This window comes from Homo sapiens, chromosome X (assembly GCF_000001405.40).
Source record: "Homo sapiens chromosome X, GRCh38.p14 Primary Assembly".
Lineage (NCBI taxonomy): Eukaryota > Metazoa > Chordata > Mammalia > Primates > Hominidae > Homo > Homo sapiens.
Genome location: NC_000023.11, coordinates 137,925,738 through 137,949,839, shown reverse-complemented (window position 1 = coordinate 137,949,839; position 24,102 = coordinate 137,925,738). Strand labels below are relative to the sequence as shown.

The 24,102-nt window shown below is 39.9% G+C and overlaps 2 annotated features.

Annotated features, from left to right (window-relative positions):
* Nucleotides 3,862-4,518: an enhancer, noted in NCBI's record as "OCT4-NANOG hESC enhancer chrX:137027481-137028137 (GRCh37/hg19 assembly coordinates)". NCBI's record gives its function as "activates a minimal SCP1, AML or CMV promoter by ChIP-STARR-seq in naive H9 embryonic stem cells {active_cell/tissue: H9 hESC(naive)}" and the evidence as "EXISTENCE:reporter gene assay evidence [ECO:0000049][PMID:30033119]".
* Nucleotides 18,807-19,403: an enhancer, noted in NCBI's record as "OCT4-NANOG hESC enhancer chrX:137012596-137013192 (GRCh37/hg19 assembly coordinates)". NCBI's record gives its function as "activates a minimal SCP1, AML or CMV promoter by ChIP-STARR-seq in primed H9 embryonic stem cells {active_cell/tissue: H9 hESC(primed)}" and the evidence as "EXISTENCE:reporter gene assay evidence [ECO:0000049][PMID:30033119]".

Genomic DNA, 24,102 nt, shown 5'->3' with positions numbered 1-24,102 from the left:
AGGGTGGAGGTTGGGAGGAGGGAGAGGATCAGGAAAAACAACTAATGGGTACTAGGCTTAATGCCTGGGTGATTAAATAATCTGTACGACAAACCCTCATGACACAAGTTTACCTATGTAACAAACCTGCACATGCACCCCTGAACTTGAAATAAAATTTAAACAACGGTGCTCAACATAATTAATCATCAGAGAAATGCAAATCAATGCTACAATGAGATATAATCTCACCCTAGTTAAAATGGCTTATATCCAAAAGACTGGCAATAACAAATGCTAGCAATGATGTGAAGAAAAGGGAACCCTTGAACACTGTTGGTGGGAATGTAAATTAGTACAAACACTATGGAGAAGAGTTTGGAGCTTCCTCAAAACACTAATAATAGAGCTACCATACAATCTAGCAATCCTATTTCTGGGTATATACCCAAAATAAAGGATATCAGTATATTGAACTGATATCTGCACTCCTATATTTTTTGCAGCACTGTTTACAATAGCTAATATTTGGAAACAATCTAAGTGTCCATCCATCAATGGATGAATAAAGAAAATATGGTACACATACACAATGGTGTACTATTCAGCCATAAAAAAGAATGAGATTCTGTCATTTACAACATGGATGGGATTAGAGGTCATTATGTTAAGTGAAGCAGCCAGGCACAGAAAGACAGACATCGAATGTTTGCACTTATTTGTGGGATCTAAAAATCAAGACAATTGAAAACATGCAGACAGAGAGTAGAAGGATGGTTACCAGAGGCTGGGAAGGGTAGTTGGAGTTTGGGGTTGGGGGAATTGGGGATGGCTAATGAGTAAAAAATAAATAAATAAATAATACTTAGTACTTGATAGCACAGTAGGGTTACCAGAGTCAAAAATAATTTAATTGTGCATTTTAAAATAACAAAATAAGTAGAATTGATTGTAACACAAAGGATAAATTCTTGAGGGCATAGATACCCCCATTTTCCATGATGTGATTATTATGCCTTGCATGCCTGTATCAAAATATCTCCTGTACTCCACAAGTACACACACCTAGTGTGTACCCACAAAAATTAAAAATTAAAAAATTTTAAAAATTCATCTTGGGATTTGGCCTAAATTCTATAAGCCTGTCATTTTCTCAATTAGATAGATGGTACGTTAGATGGAGATTGAATATTTTTCATGATGTTGACATTAGTAAAAAATAAAATATGTACTCTGATTTATTAACTGATGTGTTTAAATAAACTGTAGGTATAATGCAATCACTCATTCATGATGTAATGTGCAGTTAGTCTGTGTCAGAATCTATGCTAGATCTCAGGTCTCATAATTCTTTGGTCAACAGCAAAGTCAATAACCCTGATGCAACTATTCTAGAACATAGCATTCTTCCTAGACAGTGACTGGCACCTTAAGGCCATTCTCCCATCTAAGAGTCATAACAGATCAACTTTTTATCTCAACCTAGCCAAGCCTCATCTTAACCCATCTACCCCTCTTCATTGTCTTCAACCTACCCTCACCTGTCCTCCAACAAAGGAAAACATAATTGATCCAGTACTTTAGGACCTCTCAAATTATTCTTTTCTGTGGCCTCTACCAATAAAATAATAGGTAACACATATTGAGCATCGAAGCACTGTTTACAGCACTCTATATGCACTCATTCAGTACTTATAATGACACTATAAGGCCAGTATGTCATTATTCTCATTTTATAGATGGGTAGCTGAGGCACAGAAAGGTTAGGTAACCAGCCCAATGTCATCCAGCTAATGGCAGAGCTGGGATTTCAAGCTGGAAAATCTGGCTCTAGGACATATGTCTTAACTTTAAACTGTTGGAAACACTGCTATTGTATTTCCAGCTTTCATGTTGATGGTGCTTTAATTTTAAACCTAAACTTTAGTATACATTATACACAAAACAAAGCAAAATACAGAAAAATCTTACTAATTATGCAGGGATTTGACTGAATCAATCAAAAGATTGAATTTGAAAGTATTGTTTTGTTCTGCTATGTAGAGAATAAGCTTAATTTCTTTAATTACACAAAATAAAATAAAACTAACTAATAAGTAGAAATCCTCAGACCTGCTTTAAGGACCAGATAAGAGTAATGTATGCCCACTTTCGCTTATATATCTATATTTATAGATTTTATTATACCCATGGGTGAAAAAGATTTCTCAGATGCCATGAGGACCCAAAGGTGGGTACAAGGTGAGCTGTCATGTGTCAGTAGGAGGGTTATGCTGAAGTAGTAGCCCCTGCTTTTTTTCTAAGCCTTACATTATGGAAAAAAATCCAAGCCTCTGCTTTTCAAGTCTTCCCTTAAAGCCTCGGAATCAGCTAGGCAAATAGCCAGCAGCATCCCTGACCAATCTAAACAGGGAGTACATTCCTATGTGATGTGCAAAGCTCAGCTTTCTCCATTTCCCCTATATTGGAAAGAGCTTTGATAACAAAGAGAAGTGGGTTCAAATCCTGGCTTCAACACTTAGTGGGTATGAGTCAGTTTTCTTTCTTTGGAATGGGGATAATTATAAGACCAGCCTCATAGGGTTGTCCTGAGAATTAAGTGACCCATTGTAGAGAAAGCATTCAAGGCAGTGCCTGGCACGTGGTATGTGCCCATTAAGTGGTAATGTTTAATGGTTGTCATTATGTAACTTTGATAGAGTGGTTCAGTGTTCAAGCTCTGATATCGGACTGTTTGGGATGCAATTATGGAACTACAGGTTGTGTTAGGCAACTTAACCTCACTGAGCCTATTTCCTCACCTGAAAAATAGGTTTTATAATAGTTTGGTTTAAATGAAAGAAGAAAACATTAGTGAATTGACTAATATAGTACCTGGTACCATAGAGGTGCCATTTTAAATGGGTTTTGTTTTTCTTTTTGTAATTTTAGTTTCTTCTCTTCTTTCACTTCGGCATAGCAATTACCTAGCCATCTAGCCTCACACTTTCCACTCCCAGTTCAATAAAGGGAATGCACAGCTCTGGGGCATTAGCAGGATTGATTTGGAAAAGATCTGGGAGTGTGAATGTCTTGTACCCATGGATGGATTTCTGAATTCTGCCATAGACAGATGATTTTGTATAGTGCTGAAAGCATAGATTCGGACCACACTAGGGAGTTCCACTACGAACAAATTACTTAACCTCTCTCTGCCTCAGATTCCTCAATTGTGAAATGTGGATACAAAACAATACCTACCTTGTAGGGTTGTTGTAAGGTAAAGCTTTAAATGAGTTAATAAATGTGAAGTGCTTAGTGCAACACTCAGCACACAGTATTAGCCATTGTTACTACTTTAGAACGGACTATAGAACTTGACTATTAGGGAATACAAGGCAGACATTGTGATTGGCCAATTCACCAGAAGCCAATGTAAACCTGGGTATGTTTCACACGTGGGTATCTCCTACCCAAAGGTGTTCTGTGGCTAAAGCAGACATAAATTAGATCCTGCAGAACTGCGAGAGTGGATACAGTTAAGGTAAATTACTGCTGTAAAAAAGAGATTGGATTTTGTGTCAAAAGATCCAAATATGAGTGCCAGTTATGTTGCCTACTAGTTGTGCAGCCTTGCAAAACTCACTTACCTTCACTGGATCTTAATTTATCCATCTAAAAAATGAACACAATAAACCCTCTGTTACAAGCTTTTGTGAAGACCAGAATAAGAATTTCAAGAAAAGTGCTTGGCAAATTGCTAAGTGCTATACAAATAAAATGCCTCTTTCTCATCACAGTTGTTGCTATTGTACTTGCTATTTTACAAATATGCATGTCTTCATTCTGTTCAATTGTAAAATGGGCTTTTACCTTGGGGCTTTGTAGGACCATCTGCTTGGGTCTGGAAGGTGAAGGACTTGGACATGAAGTGGTCAGAACTGATTGAAATTCCAAGGCCCCCGATTGAACTTGGTGCCAGTGTCTTAACAATCATACTCACACTTAAACTTCGGTGGTTGTAAATATAGGTAGGGTCACTAATCAACCAGGTGGCTACCCGCTGCCCAGAACGTGGGCAATTAAGTACAAGGGCCATTTTCATCCAGAGGGTTTGCTATTTCATAGCCAATTACCCGGGCAGCTTCACCCCACTTTGAACTTTGTGGGAAGTAAGGGCAGCATATGCATCTGCAGCCTCAATAGCTTCCCTGTAGCTCCTGCCATCAACCCTATTCATCTCTTTCTAAAGAAGCGTCAGCATCCACCTGCCTTTCAGTATTTAACTCCTTCATTTAGAAAGAAGCAGCAGGAAATTTGAGCCAAGAGCTATTTTTATCTTTATAATGGCAAAAGCAATTTTAACACTATATCCACATCGTAATCTGCATTTCTGCAATCTGCTATATTTTAAAATATCAAAATCAGGAATGAATGTGCTCTTCTCAGATAGTCACATGGCTCCCTAATGCAATTTCTCCCTAATTAGAATGGTGCTCAGTTAAGAGAAAGATATTTAATGTTCTTAGTCCCTAGAGCAAATGTAAATTTTATTGAGGACCAGTTGTGGCTGAGCTTTATCAAAGAAAATACAGCTTTAGGATATGAGTTTATTTGAAAAAAAGACTTTATTATTAAAATGCACCAATTAGGCCTATAGCATTAAAGAAGTCCTGAGGTGGAGGTTTATGCATGTATTTACACATCCAATGACATACAGCAACATACAAACCAGACTGCCTCCAGCCTACCACCTGAGGAGAGGATGGGGAGTGATGCAGGGTAAGGGTGTAAATAATACCTTTACATTCTCTCTTCCTATTGGTGGAATCTGAACTCCCTGATTATCGTCACCAACTCCTTCACTTTTCAGTTGCTTGTACTACTTCCCTGGAATCCTTCCCTACCTTCCCTTCTCTCCCCTATCACTACTCTCAGAGTAGCCTTGCCAGACCCACTGGAGATAAGACAACTTGAAGGAGATAGGGAGAGTCACATCACCCCTGCCTTCAAAGCCCAGTTGCAGCATCTCTTTCTTGACATCTTTCTTGCCTATTCCCTAGGCAGGAATTGATAATCCATACACAAACTTCTCGAACTTTACTGTGCATACAAGTTACTCAAGGTTCTTATTAAAATGCAGACTGTAATTGGGTAGACCTGAGCAGAGGGCCTAAGATTCTGTATTTCTATTGGGCTTCCAGCTGATAAAATTGCTGCAGGTGATCCGTGGACCATGTTTTTGTTTGTTTGGTTGGTTGGTTGGTTTTTGTTTTTGAGACAGGGTCTCTTTCTGTCACAGAGGCTGAAGTGCAGTGGTATGATCACAGCTCAATGCAGCCTCAACCTCCCAGGCTCAGGTGATCTTCCCACTTCAGCCTCCTGGGTAGCTGGGACTACAGGTGCATGCCACCACGCCCAGCTATTTTTTAATGTGTTTTTTGTAGACAAAGAGTCTGGTTATGTTGCCCAAGTTGGTCTCGAACTCCTGGGCTCAAGAGATCCACCTGCCTTAGCCTCCTAAAGTGCTGAAATTACAGGCATGAGCCACCCTACTTGGTGGCAGGGACCATATTTTTGAATACAAGTCTATACTACATAATTCAACAATTTGTTCTAATCCCTTTTTTTTTCTCTCCAGATAAGTTGTTGATTTTCTGAGGGCTGGGATTCTATCTTATATTTCTTATGTTGATCCTCAAAATGCTGAGCTCATAATTAGTGCCACTTAAATACTACTGGATCAAATGATTGATTCATAATTGTAACAGGGACTTTGGAGTCAGACAACCTGGGCTGAAATCTCAGTGCTGCTCCTTATAAGCTTTGGAACTTTAGGCAAGTAATTTATTATCTCTGAACCTCAATTTTCCTACCTGTAAAATAATAGGGTGACTATGACAATTGCATGAACTTTTTCTGTAAAGCACCTTGCACAGTGCTTGACACAAAGTAGGCTCCCAATAAATATTACTTCCGTGTCAAAGTAGGCTCCCAGTAAATATTACTTCTGTGTTGCCTTGGATTTTCTGAAAAAAGAATTTGGGATGATCAAATCATTTTATAAATGTCAGCTAAAATTTTTAAATGAGAAAAACATTTCAAAACTACATTCATTTCTGAAAATATCTGTTTAGATATTTTTCTTCTTCCCTAATGTTTTCTGAAATGTTCTTTAACTTACTTATGTTAAAGAAACTTAACTGAAACTTATCTTTCCTGCTTGCATTTCAAAATACAACTTTAGTGTAGTGAAAACATTCCTGAACTTTCTAATCAGAAAACCTAGGTTCCCAGTTATGTTGTTATTACCCAGGAGATATTGATTAAGAATCTTAACCTCTCTCAGCTTCAGCCTTCCTGTTTATAAAAGAGGAATGATTATAGCATCCACCTAGACAATCACTGGTATATAAACACTCTTTATAATCTATAAAGCACTATATTCATGTAAAGGGTTGATATTTGCTTCAACATGCTGTCATCTATGTATAGATGACTGTCTTTTTATTTTCTGTTCTAGAATCTTGGGTTTATAATAGTCTTTGTATTTATCCTCAGATACTTTTGGAAATTAAAGTTTCTCTGTAAGTATTCCTAAAGTCCTCTGCCTCTCTGCTATTTTCATTATAAAGAGAGGTAACATCAAGCACAGAAGATAAAGATAATTTGGTAAAATCATCCAGCAAGTTACAGGCAGGCTTATAATAAAACTTTTCTCTTGTTTTTGTTAGAATAAGACACATGGAAACATTTTATTTGAAACCAGAAGCCAGTTGTTCTTTGGCAAATTACATTAAATTAAAAAATACTATCTGAAAAACAAATGTCTGAGAATACTAATTTCAAAAACATGAAAGAAATCATTTTCATGGAGCAGCTCAATTCAACCATAGCACCTGAGATTGCAAGTCAAACTTTGTTATTAGTTTATTAGTTACTTCCTAGATACAATGGGGGTACAGGTATTGGATAAATACAGCCATTCCAAAAGGGAGAAATTGGCCAAAACAAAGGAGCTACAGGCCCCATGCAAGTCTGAAATCCAGCAGGGCAGTCAAATCTTAAAGCTTCAAAATGATCTCCTTTGACTCCTTGTCTCATATCCAGGTCATGCTGATGCAAAAGGTGGGTTCACATGGTCTTGGGCAGCTCTGCCCCTGTGGCTCAGCAGGGTACAGCCTCCCTCCCAGCTGCTTTCATGGGCTAGAGTTGAGTGTGACTTTTCCAGGCTCACGGTGCAAGCTGTCAGTGGATCTACCATTCTGGGGTCTGGAGGATAGTTGCCCTCTTCGCATAGCTACACTAGGCAGTGTCCAGTAGGGACTCTGTGCGGGGGCACCAACCCCACATTTCCTTTCCATACTGCCCTAGTAGAGGTTCTCCATGAGGGCCCCACCCCTGCAGCAAACTTCTACCTGGGCATCCAGGTGTTTCCATACATCCTCTGAAATCTAGGTGGAGATCCCAAATGCCAGTTCTTGACTTCTGTGCATTCACATCCTCAACACCACATGGAAGCTGCCAAGGTTTGGAGCTTGCACCCTCTGAAGCCATGGCCCAAGCTCCATGTTGGCCCCTTTCAGTCATGGCTGGAGTGGCTGAGAGGCAGGGCACCAAGTCCCTAGACTAAACACAGCATGGGGACCCTGAGCCTTGCCCATGAAACCATTTTTTTCTCCTAGACCTCCAGGCCTATGATGGGAGAGGCTGCCGTGAAGACCTCTGACATGCCCTGGAGACAGTTTCCCCATTGTCTTGGGGATTAACATTCAGTTCCTCGTTACTTATGCAAATTTATGCAGTTGGCTTGAATTTCTCCTCAGAAAATGGAACTTTCTTTTCTATCACATTCTCAAGCTGCAAATTTTCCAAACTTTTATTCTCTGCTTCCCTTATAAAATTGAATGCCTTTAACAGCACCCAAGTCACCTTTTGAATGCTTTGCTGCTTAGAAGTATCTACTGCCACATACCCTAAATCATCTCTCTCAATTTCAAAGTTCCACAAATCTCTAGGGCAGGGGCAAAATGCCACCAGTCTCTTTGCTAAAACATAACAAGAGAGTGACCTTTGCTCTAGTTCCCAACAAGTTTCTCATCTCCATCTGAGACCACCTCAGCCTGCATTTCATTGTCCATATCATTATCAGGATTTTGGTCAAAGGCATTCAACAAGTATCTAGGGAGTTCCAAACTTTCCCATATACCATGTACCTGAAGTTATGTTAATATGCTCCAGCAAAAATACCATTATCTAGATCAGCAGTTGTGATTGGGGATACTACCTAATTGAGTTTACCATAATCCACTTTAGCCCTCCAGTGTGTAGTTGGTTTCATACGAACCAGAATGGTAAATCAATGAGAATATGGTAAGGACTCACATTTCTGCATCCTTCAGAGTTTTAAGGGAGGCAATAATCTCTGTCATTCTTCCAGGAAGTAATTTTATTTTTGATTTACTGTCTTGACTGGGGATAAGAGAGAGAGGGAGTTATCCAGAGGTTTGCACTTAGCCTTCCCACTATGATAGCTTTTACCCCACAGAACAAAGACCTGATGTTGGGATTCTTCCAAGTATCATGTATAACCATTCTAATTATACATTTGTAGACTGGGGTAGTGACCCCAAGGTGAATCTATAGATATAGTGGACCTACTGTGAGCTAAACCTGAACCAGGACTCCACTTATTACCTGGTTTATATATGCTCCCACTCCAACAGAGAAGCCACAATGACACTTCTGGTGTCCTGTTAGCAATGTCAACTGATCCAAACAAACTTCAAAATACTTAAGTATTTCCTTTATCCCAGTGTATAGTTACTCAAGCAGATAATTTTAAGTCACTTCAGGGAGAGACTGGAGGAAACATTATAGGCTTTTCAGCTTGCTTTGGTGTTGGATATGAGAACAGGCTTAGGAATGGAAATTGGGCAAGAGATCATATATTTTATTGGGAAAGCTGCCCTTTCTGGTCATCCATCTTTGTTTTTTTTTTTTTTGTTTTGTTTTGTTTTTTTGGTTGTGTCAATTAGGCAAAAATCTTGTTGGGTTCCCATCTATCTTGCTCCTAGAATACTATGTTCTATTAACTATCTGCATAGTTCTCTGCAGGTCAGGACCCCTTGGCTGCCACTCTGACCTTGCTGTTCTCTACAATAATTGCGCCCACTTTGCTCCTGATAGTAAATCAATGACATCTGGCCTCAATTATTTCCAGATCCTGTCATCACCTTTGCCATCAAGTAGCCCAGTTTTATTACAGCATTTCCCAGTGTTATCCCTGATCTGTATAGGACAGCAAGTTTCTCAGTAATGGATGTGTCTGTCTTGCCAGCACATCATTCTTTATTGCTTTGGTTAAATAGAATGTCTTCTGAGCCTTTCTTCAGAAAATATTTGGCTGGCAGATTTTCCAGTCTTGCAGTGTGTTCCCTTTCCCTGGCATGACCAGTTCTGGAGAGTTCTGATTTATTCCTCCATCATCTTTCATGCAATTTCCAGCAGTTTTTACTTCACTTTTTGTGGATAATCATTTTCCAAAGATTCCAAGAGAAACCTTAGAAACATATTAGCCCTATCTTCCAGGGTCCTTGACCAAGTAAATCCTATATCATGGGAAAGTAATCCATATTAAGAAAACTCACATTTATCCAACTTTACATTTTGTTTTTTTGATCCATCACACACAGGATCCAGTCTTACATATACTGTTCTGGCTCCAATTAATCATGTTGACTAGATCCTGCAGCTACTTTGGTACATAGACCCTTTCCTCTCTTAAGAGGCCCAGCACTTCCCTAACTGGATAATGTTGTTACTTGATTTTAGTTTGGGGTCTCATGGCAAGGAAGTGAAGTGAGGATTCTGAGAGAGGATACATGTTTTCTGTGGTGGGGGGAGGGTATTTTTTTCTTCTGAGAAAGAGTCTTGCTCTGTTGCCCAGGCTGGAGTACAGTTGCACACTGTAGCTCACTGCAGCCTCAAACTCCAGGGCTAAAGTGATCCTCTCACCTCAGCCTCCCAAAGTGCTTACAAGAGTGAGCCACCATGCCCAGCCAGGATACTTTTTTTTTCCAAAGCAGAAATATCTAACATCTTCCAAACAGGATAGAGCACTAGATTTTAGCAAGGAGGAGGATTTTAACTTTTGCAGCCCTAGAGAGATCAGGAGAATCTTGGAAATCAAGATTTTAGAGTCCATTGACCCAGATGTACCTATCCCATGCCTCAGGTCCCATTCCTTCCCAATGAATACCCTGACCTTGGCAGAGCCGACTAACCATGGTTGAAAATTCAACCTTCTCTGGACTCTGAGATGCTTTATAATTAAGTCCTGGGCCTGATCACCAGCTTTTTCTGCCTTCCAGCTGAAAGAAATGAGTGCCTCTTTATATGTTGGCAAAGATATTTGCCATTCACACTCCATCTTAAATCAATTACTAGACCTCCTTATCCTTTCATTGTTTTTGTCCAAAGCATGAATAGCGTCTAGCAAAAGCCATTCAATCCCTAGTCCTTATAATTACTACCTCACCCAAATGCTGAAACATACAAGATGTTGTACTTACCAACGTGTTCTCTTTCTCTGGTATTCCATCCCAGTTCACTGCCAAAAGATGCATAAACAATTTCACTGCCTACAGAATGCCAAAAGCAGTTAGTATTCCACCTGCCCCCAGTGAAATGGTTCCCACTCCAAGCTGGCTGATGGATAATCCACCTCTAAAATGCCACTTTAGAGTTTTCTTTCTAGGTCTACTCCTAGAACCCAGTCTTAAGTCATATTCCTCAGTCAATACCCTCTAAAATGAATATCTGTATGAGGAGGTTTCTTCAGGAAGTCCTCTCAGAAATAAGATTTCTAAGATAATCAGGAAAGAATATTTAGATACAGAGACGTTTTGGACTACCATGCAGTTGCAGCAGAGGCTTCAGCCAGTTCCTTATGGGGTTTTGGAGTTGAGATAACCCTTCAAATTTGTCCTAAACTGATGCAAGGAAGCCAGGAGCTGTAGTCCTATGTCACAGTCACTAGATGTGGACTCCTCTTCAGAGAGAGGATACAACTCTGGGTGAGCTTTTTCTCTTCAGATGAGGCCAGATCCCAGAGAGGGACTCAGCGGTGAGTCATTAACAGCCAACACTCTCAGCAGTAGTGAAAATGATTCCTTCAGTACTGAATGGAGAATTTGGGTGACAGCACCCACTATAATCTCCCTCCTTTTTGGCTTTATTTTGATGGTAATGTGGAATTAAAACAAAGGAGTAGTAAATATGGTGCTTAACTGGAGGGGGTTTTCCCACAACAAATTATTCCCTGTTATGTCATGCCATGTCTGTCTTTAGGACTTGGCACTTATAGAGAAGGGAGCTCAGTCTCAGAAGAGGTAGAAAAGTGGGCACTGGGGAAAAGTTTCAGGGTTCTCCTTAGGGAACTTACCACTTTTTAGGGACCATTTAATTGATGGTAGGTGGAATACCAATAGCTTTTGGCATGCTGTCACAGTGAAATTATTAACATTATTATCAGTGGTTGTGTCAGTTTGTTCTTGCATTGCTATAAAGAAATACCTGAGGCTGGGTAATTTATAAAGAAAAGAGGTTTACTTGGCTTACAGTTTTGCAGTCTGTACAGGAAGCATGGTACCAGCAACTGCTCAGTTCCTGATGAGGCCTCAGGGAACTTACAATCGTGGCAGAAGGCAACAGGGATCCAGCATAACTAAAAGGGAGCCCAGTGCTGATAGCCAAGAAAACAGGGAAAAGGCCTTGAAGGCATTTCAGAGACCCTTGCAGTAGCCCCTCCCATCATTGTAGCAAGTGGTTGCTCCATAGCCTGTTTGAATTTTTTTCCTGAAAATGCTTTTTTCTTTCTCTTCCACATGGCTAGGCTGCAAATTTTCTAAACTTTTATGCTTTGCCTCCCTTTTAAATATAAGTTTCAATTTTAAGTCGTTTATTTGCTCTTGTCTCTGATTGTAGGTTGTTAGAAGCAGCCATGTCACTTCTTCAGTGCTTTGCTGCTTGGAAATTTCTTCTGCCAGATACCCTAGGTCATCCCTCTTAAGTTCAAACTTCCACTGATTCCCTAGGGCATGGACACAATACAGCAAAGTTCTTTGCTACAGCATAACATGGATAACGTTTACTCCATTTCTCAATAGCTTCCCCACTTCCATCTGAGTCCTTGTCAGCCTGGCTTTCTTCCTTCCTTCCTTCTTTCCTTCCTTCCTTCCTTTCCTTTTCTTTTTTTCTTTCTTACCAAGTCTCACTTTGTTGCCCAGGCTGGAGTGCAATGGCATGATCTTGGCTCACTGCCATCTCTGCCTCCTGGGTTCAAGCGATTCTCCTGCCTCAGCCTCCTGAGTAGCTGGGATTACAGGTGCATGCTACCATGCCTGGCCTAATTATTTGTATTTTTAGTAGAAATGGTGTTTCACCATGTTAGCCAGGCTGGTCTTGAACTCCTGACCTCAGGTGATCTGCCCGCCTTGGCCTCCCAAAGTGCTGGGATTACAGGCGTGAGCCACTGTGCCCAGCCCATATTTCTATCAGCATTTTGGTCACAACAATTTAACCAGTCTCTAAGAAGTTTTAAACTTTCCCCCATCATCCTGTCTTCTTCTGAGCCCTCCAAACTCTGCCCATTACCAAGCTCTAAAGCAGCTTCCACATCTTCAGGTATCTTTATAGCAATGTCCCCCTCCTTGTTTTCTGTGTCAGTCTGTTCTTGCATTGCTACAAAGAAATAACAGCCTGTTTAATTTATAAAGAAAAGAAGTTTAATTGGTTCATAGTTCTGCAGGCTTTATAGGAAGCATGGTGCTAGCATCTGCTTCTGATGAGGTCTCAGGAATCTTACAATCATGGCAGAAAGCAACAGGGAGCCAACATGTCACATGGTGAGAGCAAGAGGAAGAGAGAGAGTAGGGGATGAGGTGCCACACTCTTTTAAATAACCGGACCTTTTATTTTTTGATTATGGCCATTCTTGCAGGAGTAAGGTGGTATCACATTGTGGTTTTGATTTGCATTTCCCCGGTCATTAGTGATATTGAGCATTTTTTCATGTTTGTTGGCCATTTGTATATCTTCTTTTGAGAATTGTCTATTCGTGTACGTAGGTCACTTTTTGATGGGGTTGTTTTTTTCTTGCTCACTTGTTTGAGTTCCTTGTAGATTCTAGATATTAGTCCTTTGTCAGATATATAGATTGCAAAGATTTTCTCCCTACCTGTGGGTTGTTAGCACTGCTGATTGTTTCTTTTGCTGTGAAGAAGCTTTTTAGTTTAAGATTGTTTCTTTTGCTGTGAAGAAGCTTTTTAGTTTAATTAAGTCCCATCTATTTACCTTTGTTTTTGTTGCATTTGCTTTTGGGTTCTTGGTCATAAAGTCTTTGCCTAAGCCAATGTCTAGAAGGGTTCTTCCTATGTTATCTTGTAGAATCTTTATCATTTCAGGTATAAGGTTTAAGTCTTTGATCCATCTTGAGTTGATTTTTGTATAAGGTAAGAGATGAGGATCCAGTTTCATTATTCTACATGTGGTTTGCCAATTACCCCAGCACCATATGTTGAATAGACTGTCCTTTCCTCACTTTATGTTTTTGTCTGCTTTGTCAAAGATCAGTTGGCTGTAAGTATTTGGCTTTATTTCTGGGTTCTCTATTCTGTTCCATCGGTCTATGTGCTTATTTTTATACCAGTACCATGTTGTTTTGATGACTATGGCCTTATAGTATAGTTTGAAGTCAGGTAATGTGATGTCTCTCAATTTTTTCTTTTTGCTTAGTCTTGCTTTGCTATGCAGGCTCTTTTTTGGTTTCTTATGAATTTTTGGATGTTTTTTTCTAGTTCTGTGAAGAATGATGGTGGTATTTTGATGGAAATTGCATTGAATTTGAAAATTGCTTTTGGCAGTATGGTCATTTTCACAATATTGTTTCTACCCACCCCTGAGCATGGGATGTTTCCATTTGTTTGTGTCATCTATGATTTCTTTCAGCAGTGTTTTGTAGTTTTACTTGTAGAGGTCTTTCACATCCTTGGTTAGGTATATTCCTAAGTATTTTTGTGTTTTTTCTTTTTTTTTTTTTTTTTTTTGCAGCTATTGTGAAAGGGGTTGTGTTCTTGATTTGATTCTCTGCTTGGTCACTGTTGGTGTACAGCAGAGCTACTAATTTGTCTACATTAATTTTATATTCTGAAACTTTGCAGAATTCATTTATCAGTTCTAGGAACATTTTGGAGGAGTCTTTAGGGTTTTCTAGGTATACAATCATATGGCAGGTGTATTAGTCTGTTTTCATGCTGCTGATAAAGACATGCCCGAGACTGGGAACAAAAAGAGGTTTAATGGACTTACAATTCCACATGGCTGGGGAGACCTCACAATCATGGTGGAAGGAAAGGAGAAGCAAGTCACGTCTTACTTGGATGGTGGCAGGTAAAGAGAGCTTGTGCAGGATTTTGTGAGACTCACTCACTATCACGAGAACAGTGCGTGAAAGACCCAACTCCATAATTCAATCACCTCCCACTGGCTTCCTCCCATGAAACATGGGAATTGAGGAAGTTACAATTCAAGATGAGATTTGGGTGGTGGGGACACAGCCAAACCATATCGTTCTGTGCCCCCGCAGGCTCAACACCACATGGAAACTGCCAAGGGTTGGGGCTTGCACCCTCTGAAGCCATGGCCTGAGCTGTGCCTTGGCCCCTTTTAGTCATGGCTGGAGTGGCTGGGACACAGGGCACCAAGTCCCTAGACTGCACACAGCATGGGCAACCTGGGCCTGGCCCACGAAACCATTTTGTCCTCCTAGGCCTCAGGGCCTGCGATAGGAGGGGCTGCTGTGAAGACCTCTGACATGCTGTGGAGACATTTTCCCCATTGTCTTAGAGATTAACATTTGGCTCCTTGTTACTTATGCAAATTTCTGCAGCTGGGTTGAATTTCTCCTCAGAAAATGGGATTTTCTTTTCTATCACATTCTCAGGTTGCAAATTTTCCAAACTTTTGTGCTCTCCTTCCCTTATAAAACTGAATGCCTTTAACGGCACCCTAGTTACCTCTTGAATGCTTTACTGCTTAGAAATTTCTTCTGCCAAATACCCTAAATCATCACTCTCAAGTTCAAAGTTCCACAAATCTCTAGGGCAAGGGCAAAATACCACCAGTCTCTTTGCTAAAACATGACAAGGGCCACCTTTGCTCCAGTACCCAACAAGTTCTTCATCTCCATCTGAGACCACCTCAGCCTGGAGCTTATTGTTCATATCGCTATCAGCATTTTTGTCAAGGCCAATCAACAAGTGTCTAGGGAGTTCTAAACTTTCCCACATTTTCCTGTCTTCTGAGCCCTCCAAATTATTTGAACCTCTGCCTGCTACCCAGTTTCAAAGTCACTTCCACATTTTCAGATATCTTTTCAGCAGCACCCCACTCCTGGTACCAATTTACTGTATTAGTCCATTTTCATGCTGCTGATAAAGACATACATGAGACTGGGATGATAAAGAGGTTCAATGGACTTACAGTTCCATATGGCTGGGGAAGCCTCACAATCATGGTGGAAAAAGGAGCAAGTCACATCTTACATGGATGGTGGCAGGCAAAGAGAGAGTTTGCACAGAGAAACTCCCATTTCTAAAACCATCAGATCCCTTGAGACTCATTCACTATCATGGGAACAGTGAAGGAAAGACTCACCCCCATAACATGGGAATTGTGGGAGTTAAATTCAAGATGACATTTGAGTGGGGACACAGCCAAACCATGTCATTGGGGATGTGGTGAAAAGGGAACACTTGTACACTGCTGGTGGGAATGTAAACTCGCACAAACACTATGAAAAACAGTGTGGCGATTCCTTAAAGAACTAAAAGTAGAAGTACCATTTGATCCAGCAATCCCACTACCAGATATCTATCCAGAAGAAAAGAAGTCATTATGCGAAAATAATACTTAGACATGCAGTTGTTTTTTTTTTTTTTTCTTGAAATGGAGTCTCTTTCTGTCACCCAGGCTGGAATGCAGTGGCACAATCTCAGCTCACTGCAACCTCCACCTCCCGGGTTCAAGCGATTCTCCTGCCTCAGCTTCCCGAGTAGCTGGGATTATAGGCACACACCACTGCACCTGGCTAATTTTTGTATATTTAGTAGAGATGGGGTTTCACCATGTTGGCCAGGCTGGTCTTGAACTTCTGACCTAAGGTGACCACCCGCCTCCAAGACAGATGCCAGGCTGGTCTTGAACACCTGACCTCAGGTGATCCACCCACCTCAGCCTCCCAAAGTGCTTGGATTACAGGCATGAGCCACTGCACCCAGCCTACACATGCATTTTTATAGCAGCACAATTCACTATTGCAAAAATATGGAACCAGCCCAAATGCCCATCAATCAATGAGTGGATAAAGAAATTGTGGTATATACATAACATGGAATACTACTCAGTTACGAAAAGGAATTAAATAATGGCTTTTGCAATGGAACTGGGGACCATTATTCCAAGTGAAGTGACTCAGGAATGGAAAACCAAACACCATATGTTCTCACTCCTAAGTGGGAGCTAACTTATAAGGTGCAAAGGCATAAGAATGATACAATGGACTTTGGGAACTCGGCAGGAAAGGGTGGGGGGGAGGTGAGGGATAAAAGACTACAAATTGAGTACAGTGTATACTGCTTGGGTGATGGGTGCACCCAAATCTCAGAAATCACCACTAAGGAACATATTCATGTAACCCAACTCCACCTGTTCTCCAAAAACCTATGGAAATTAAAAATTAAAAAATAAAAATAAAGGCCGGGCATGGTGGCTCACACCTGTAATCCCAGCACTTTGGGAGGCTGAGGCAGGTGGATCAGCTGAGGTCAGGAGTTCAAGACCAGCCTGGTCAACATGGTGAAACCCTGTCTCTACTAAAAATACAAAATTAGCCAGGCATGGTAGCAGACACCTGTAATCCCAGCTACTCGGGAGGCTGAGGCAGGAGAATCACTTGAACCTGGCAGATGGAGGTTGCAGTGAGCTGAGATTGCATCATCGTGTTCCAACCCGGGCAAGAGTGAAACGTCATCTCAAAAATAAATAAATAAATAAAAAGGAACAATAAATAAATAAATAAGCAAGCAGAGCTCATGTGAATGAACTGAGCAAGACTTCACTCATCACCAAGTGGATGGAACTCAGACATTAATGAGGGGTTTGACCCCATGATCCAATAACTGCCACCAGGCCCCACCTCCAACATTGGGGATTACATTTTAACATGAGATTTGGAGGGAACAAAAATCCAAACTATATCAGTGGTGAACCACTGCAGTTTATCTTCTGGCTTTTTCTGCTATACTTTACCAAAACAGAAGGAAATTCTTACTTTGAAACAACATTTCCATATGCATTGTTCAGATTATTTATTAATCTAATTTTCTTTTTTAAACATCAATTCTATGCATAATTGTGCTTTCTACATAGCATCTATTTATTCATTCAACAATACTGACTGCATACATACTATATGTCATGAACTGTTCTAGGTGGCAGGGATACAGTAATTAACAAGGTAGACAGAATGTTTATATTCATGGAATGCACATTGTAGAAAATGGCTGGGGAGACAATAAATAAGAAGGAATAAATAAATAAGAAAATTTCAAATAGTTATAAGTAATGTAATGATAATAAAATAGTAACGCGATAACAAGTAATTGACTTTTACGATTTGTAAATTGGAGAGGAAATTTACCGTACATAGGGCAGTCAGGGTAAACTTTTCTGAGGAGGTGTTTCTTTTTTCTTTTTTTTTTTTTTTTTTTTTTTGAAACAGAGTCTCGCTCTGTCACCCAGGCTGGAGTGCTGTAGTGGCGCAATCTTGGCTCACTGCAAGCTCCACCTCCCGGGTTCATGCCATTCTCCTGCCTCAGCCTCCCGAGTAGCTGGAACCACAGGCGCCTGCCACCACGCCCGGCTAATTTTTTGTATTTTTAGTAGAGACGGGGTTTCACCCTGTTAGCCAGGATGGTCTCGATCTCCTGACCTTGTGATCCACCCGCCTCAGCCTCCCAAAGTGCTGGGAGGAGGTGTTTCTTGAGCTGCAACCTGTATGATGAGAAGGATATGGTTCATTTGAGCTGATATGAAAGTAAAGCGAGAAAATAAGCCTTGAGAAAATCTGAGGGCAGTGAGTTTCAGAACGACATAAAGAATAACTAGTACAAAGGCCCTGAGAAACCAAAAGAAGACCAACGGGGCTGGATGGAGTTTAGTGACAGAGGGGAAATCATACAAAATGGGATGAGAGACTAGGCATGGACAAATTACATTGGGCCCTGGAGGCCATAGTCAATAATTTATGTCTAAGAACAATGAGAAGGCAATAGCACATTTTGAGCCAAGGAATAACATAATCTACCTTATGTTTTAAAAGAACAATTCTGGATGCTATTTATAAAATGTATTATAAAGGGTCAAGAATAGAAACAGTAATGCCAGTTAGGAAATTATTTCAGTAATTCAGGGGAGGTGATGGTGGCTTTGACCAGGATTGTAGCTGCAGAGATAGTGTGAAGTTGTCAAACTCTGAATATATTTTGAAGGTAGAGCCGAAAGCATTTACTTACAGATTAGATGTAGGATGCAAGAGGAAAATGGGACTTGAATTAGCAACATTATAACTAGAGTCAAACTGTCTAGTAGTGAGTTGGACAATAAATGGGTCAGAGGAAGAGATTACTGAGGGCCAAATCAGGAAGGTTTCACAGTCTTCAAGGAAAAATCTGAGTGTGTTTATGTGTGTGTAAGAGTGTGTGTGTGTGTGTGTGTGTGTGAGACAGAATACAGAGATACAGGGATATAGAGAGCAATTCATCTTATTGAAGATGATCCTGTTGACAATTTACTTCTATAATTGGCCAAAGACAATATTTTCTGTTTTGATTGACTGAATTGAGGAGTTCTTTGCTTTGTCAAACTGCTCCTGGAGCTGACACTTCAACACAAACTAGGGCACACCTACTTGGTGACTTCTGAAGTAGCAATGATTGTTATAGTGTCTCAAGCTGTGCTTAATGGGGAGACGTGGCTGGGGTATCTGCATGCATTGTGCAGATGCAGGAGAAGAGAAAGAGCAAACCTATCTCCCCAGCTGTGGCTAGAAAGCCTGCCCATTAGAGGTCCTTTTGCACTTCACAGGCAGGAGTATATTCTACAAGCAAAGCCATCCCACAGGTGCAGAACTGGAGCACAATTGATTTCCTTTGTGGAACTAGCCACAGAGAAATCCTTCATGTATGCTCCCAGACTCGGTGGCAGTTTCAAGTTGATGTGAAGTGCAGATACATAGCATAGAAGTGTTACTGTTGGAACATTTTGGAATTTCAAAGCATCACCTGATGGGAGAAGGTGTAGAAAGCAAGCACTAACCCTCCTGCCAGAGAAAACAGGGGTTAAAGAAGGGAAGCAGTTTTTCACATGGTGGAAAGCAGAGTCACTTTTTTTTATTACACTGTATTGAAATTTTCCTCTTTAATGCCTCTATATTCCAGGAATTGATCTTTCTTGTTCCTCTTTAGCAGAGTGACTGCCACATAGTATATGCTGATGAGATATTGTGGCTGAATGAATGAAAAATTGAACCTAAATCAACCTTAGAGTCTCTGCCAACCGAGTCATATTGTCAATATTTGTTGCTAACAAATATGAAATTCCAGTTCCAATTCCTGTCTTTGTGCTTGGTACCTGTGATACAATCAGGCTATGTCTATGTAGTGCTGCTGGAGCAGTTGGTTTTGTGGAACTTTCCGGGAAATGGAAAGAAGTCAACAGTCTCAAATGATTGGTTTGAGTGGTATGTTTTCCTGCTCAGTTGCTGAATCTTTTGTCTGAATTGACAAAGTAAACAAATAAACAAAAACCAAATTAATCAAAAAGCACATTGATGTCGCTAGATGCAATTACATCCATGTCCTGACCTGTGGCCATCGGCATAAAACCTGAGACACTGAAGAGTGGGATAAAAGTTTGTATATACAACCATTCCTTTTCGTCACCTTAGGGTTTGAGGTGGGGTGGAGATGGCCAGATCAGTTGTTTGATGTCATGAATTGAAAATACTCAACTGATTGAGTCAATTTTTAGTATTTATATAATCAGGGCTCTTGTATAATCAGTGTCCACTTTTTCCGTAAAGTATCAGGCTCTTTGTCACTTCTCAAATACCCCCTTTTTAAAGACTGCAAATATTGGATACCTTAAGTCATCTCTGTTTGAAGATTTCCCCACCTAAACCTCTCCAGCCATTCTCTGCACCTCCCCCTACCTTGGCAGCTGCATGTCTTTCAAAGACTTCCTTTCCAATCAAGACTGAAATACATGTTCAATTTTTGAGTAACCAAATATGGGACTGTCTGTATCAGCAAGCGATATTTTTGCCAGTCAGTCCTGATTTGACGAATTGAAGGTTTCCATAGACTTCCCCAGGTGCCAACTGCTTAAGCTAAACAATGACACCAAATGAAACTGCCTATCAAACAAAGGCACATCAGGAGGAGAAACAAAATGACACTGATGTTATTAAGGCTGCCTCCGCTGAGGAGCTATAAGCAAGGCAGAGTCTTCATATTGCACAAGCCAGCTAAAACAAAGAAAGATAGAGCTAACACAAAGAAAAATAGGAGAAAACACACAAAGAGGACCTAAGATAATACCTATAGAAGAAAATTTAAATTGCAGATGGATTTGTCATTTCTCGTCCTTCATATATAGAAGGAGGCTATTTCTGTATATCTCCTGTTTGGCGTGTAATCTTTAGTAACAAACATGTAGTTTTAAGCACTATGTTAATAAACAAATAAAATGCATAATATTGTCAGGTCTAATAGAATGTTTCCATGAGTTAAAAGTTTAACTACCCCATGGTAGCATAACTATAAGTGAACTTATTTTCCAATGAGTGGAGAAAAAGTGATTTTATAACAACAACTTCCACATCCACTCCCTATTTATAACACAATTCTGTCCATCACCAGCAGCCTGATATTACAGAGAGCAAAAACACTTAACGGACTTGCTCTTATTACATGATGCATACCATCTAATGCTGGGGGAAAGAAAACTAAGACAGCAGTTGGAAAGCAATTTATTTTATTTATTCTCACCACTGCATTTTTTGGACCTGTAATGTATTCCACCCATCAGAAAGCTTTATCTCAGCTGGAAAACATGAATTCTTATTTTGGTATTCAAAATTCCAACTCTTTGTGAAATTCTAAGTGCCTTTAAAAAATTGAAATGCTCCCGGGTGACATGTATTATTATAGGTAAAATACATAGTTACATTCATATTTTAAAAGAGTGTACATTTAAAACTCACATCCTTAAAAAATAAACGATTAAAAAGCAAAATAAAACACACCTTGTCAAGAGCATAATTGAAAATGAGAACTTTCCTTCATTGGTTTGATTTCAGCTTGCTTATCAGGTTTTATGCTTACTGTGTATCAAAAAAAAATGTACTCTTGTGCCACATATCCAAAGAGAGAATGATATCACTACAAAATATTTAAACTGTTTTCTTTACTGCCAGCTATCATTGTATCAGGATGCTGCTGAGCTTCTTGGGAGTTGTAGTTTTCAGTTCTGGTTAACTAGTAGGTATAAGAATGCTTGCGTCAGTATTTACAAGAAGAGGATACATTTTGGAATTCTCACAAGTAAAGAAATGAAATAAAAGTATGAAGGAAAGGCCACTAAATGATCTATTTTCTACTGCTTGCATGTAGTATTTTTTATTCCTTTCATTTTTGATCATGTAACTGTGACAATATAGGGCAATTCAAAAATAATTGGACACTTGCATGAATATTTACTCAGTAACTAGGTGCTATATGAAATTGTAGAATGTACCTAATTATAGAGTTACCTTTACAAGTAGCTAACCATTGGAGAAGTTTTGGCTTCCTGTTCGTATATAACCTCGTTACTGAATAATAAATGTTTGAATGTTCTATTGTGTTTGACTACCCTATAATTATTTGTTGTGGAAAGTGTGCATGGATGTCTTTCAATTAAAATATATGCTGCAAAATAGCAAAAATCATTTTAAGTTCTCGTGAAAACTGTCCCAAGTCATCCATCAACAGAGATGTATTATTTTTATTTTAAATGCATAGTCTTCTTCCTTTTTTTTTTTTTTTTTTTGAGATGGATTCTCACTCTGTCACCCATGCTGGAGTGCAGTGGCGCCATCTCTGCTCACTGCAACCTCCGCCTCCTGGGTTCAAGTGATTCTCCTTCCTCAGCCTCCCGAGTAGCTGGGACTACAGGCACGCATCACCACGCCCAGCTAATTTTTGTATTTTTAGTAAAGACAGGGTTTCACCATATTGGTCAGGCCAGTCTTGAACTCCTGACCTCGTGATCCACCTGCCTTGACCTCCCAAAGTGCTGGGATTACAGGTGTGAGCCACTGCGCCCAGCCATAAATGCGAAGCTAGTCAAGCATGGTTGTAGTGGGAGACCATATTTTTAAAATAAATTTTGATCTCACTAAATCAGCTCCTGTACTATGGCAAGAAAGTGAGAAATAGATATATGTACTTGAAACCAGGAAGTGAAATTTGATATTTAAAGTCAATACATAGATAGACACATAAAAAACATACTTAGATACAGAGAGAGAGAGAGAAAGAGAGAAAATACACTCACTACCAGGGACTGGACACATAGACTGGATTAGATCCGGGTTGTTAAAGAGCCTCCAAAAACGACTCTGACTGGGTCTATACAAGCTTACCAAATTGTCCATTTTGACTAAATTGACCAATCAATTTAATGAAATAGCCACTTAACTCCCCCCACCTCAATTTGACAAAAACCACCTGTTAAGGAACTTGGAGACAGTCTTATTTTCCTGATCTTTCCAAACAACAATTCCCTCTACTGCTCTGCTCACCTGTCTCCTCCAAGCAACACTTTACTGGTTCAATTGTTTTCTCAATTGTGATTGGAGTTAGGAAATAACTATTTGTTCCCCAGGACACAAATTTTCCTGGGATTGAGGGAGTTACAGTAATCAACTGAGCTGATGGCTGCCCTGGGCAGAACCATTTAAAGGCTACCCAGGAGCAGGTTAAACTCCTGAGTGCTCTAAGAATCCTGCTTAAATCAAAAAATCCGTGAACTGCTGGTTTGGCATTCAGTTCACCATTTCATAGCCTGTACTTTGCTTCTCAGGTAGTGATCTGAAATACTTATTCAGCTACAATTTCTCTTGAGGCTAGCCAATAAACTGAGCAGGTCAGGCCAAATCACAATTCTTCAACGAACGGCCACCCGATGAAAAGACTCTGTTTACTATTTAGACTTAGATGCCCTGATTTCGAAATGTATAATGAGAAAGGAAACATAATTGTGCATTTTTAATTGAAATGTGTTCTTTCCATTTTAATTCTTATTATGGTTCTCTACAAGAGACAATAAATTTATTGTCTTCCAAGAGAACATGCAAGAAGGGTCTAGAAGGCTCACTTGCTTTTTTCCCTGGGCATGAGATACCCACCATCTTCCACAAGATGGCAGGCAGTTTTCATTTTACTGTTGGTGATCAACAGGAAATTGCTCCACTCTCAAATGACAGCAACCCCAGGTAGCTAGGGTGACATTTGCTTTACATTATGATACACACTAATTAATCATTAGTGATCCCAGAAGTAAGTCTGCTAAAAATTCTTTGCTATGGCTTTTCACAGCAGGGGCTTTCAATATTGATACTTTTACATGCACATATGTTCAGCCAGTATATGTTATAGCCATGGCTTTAAGCTTTCAGGTTATTTTAATTAATATTGCCTAAATTAATATTCACCTCTTATTTGGAAGGGGAAATGGTAAGGCTAGTGAAATAAATACAGAAAGAAAAAGCAGTGAACAAAACTCTGAAAAGCTAAAGGCAACTTTGCCAAGTTTTCAGCTTGAAGCACCTTTGTCTTCTGGCATTTGTTGTCATTGTCAACTTTTTCCCAGGCCCAGCTCAAAATCTCTGGGGCAAAAATCCTTTAAAGATTTGGGTTGGCAACACCACTGCACACTTAACTTGCATGCTATGGTCTCGAAACACATCGTCTCATGAAG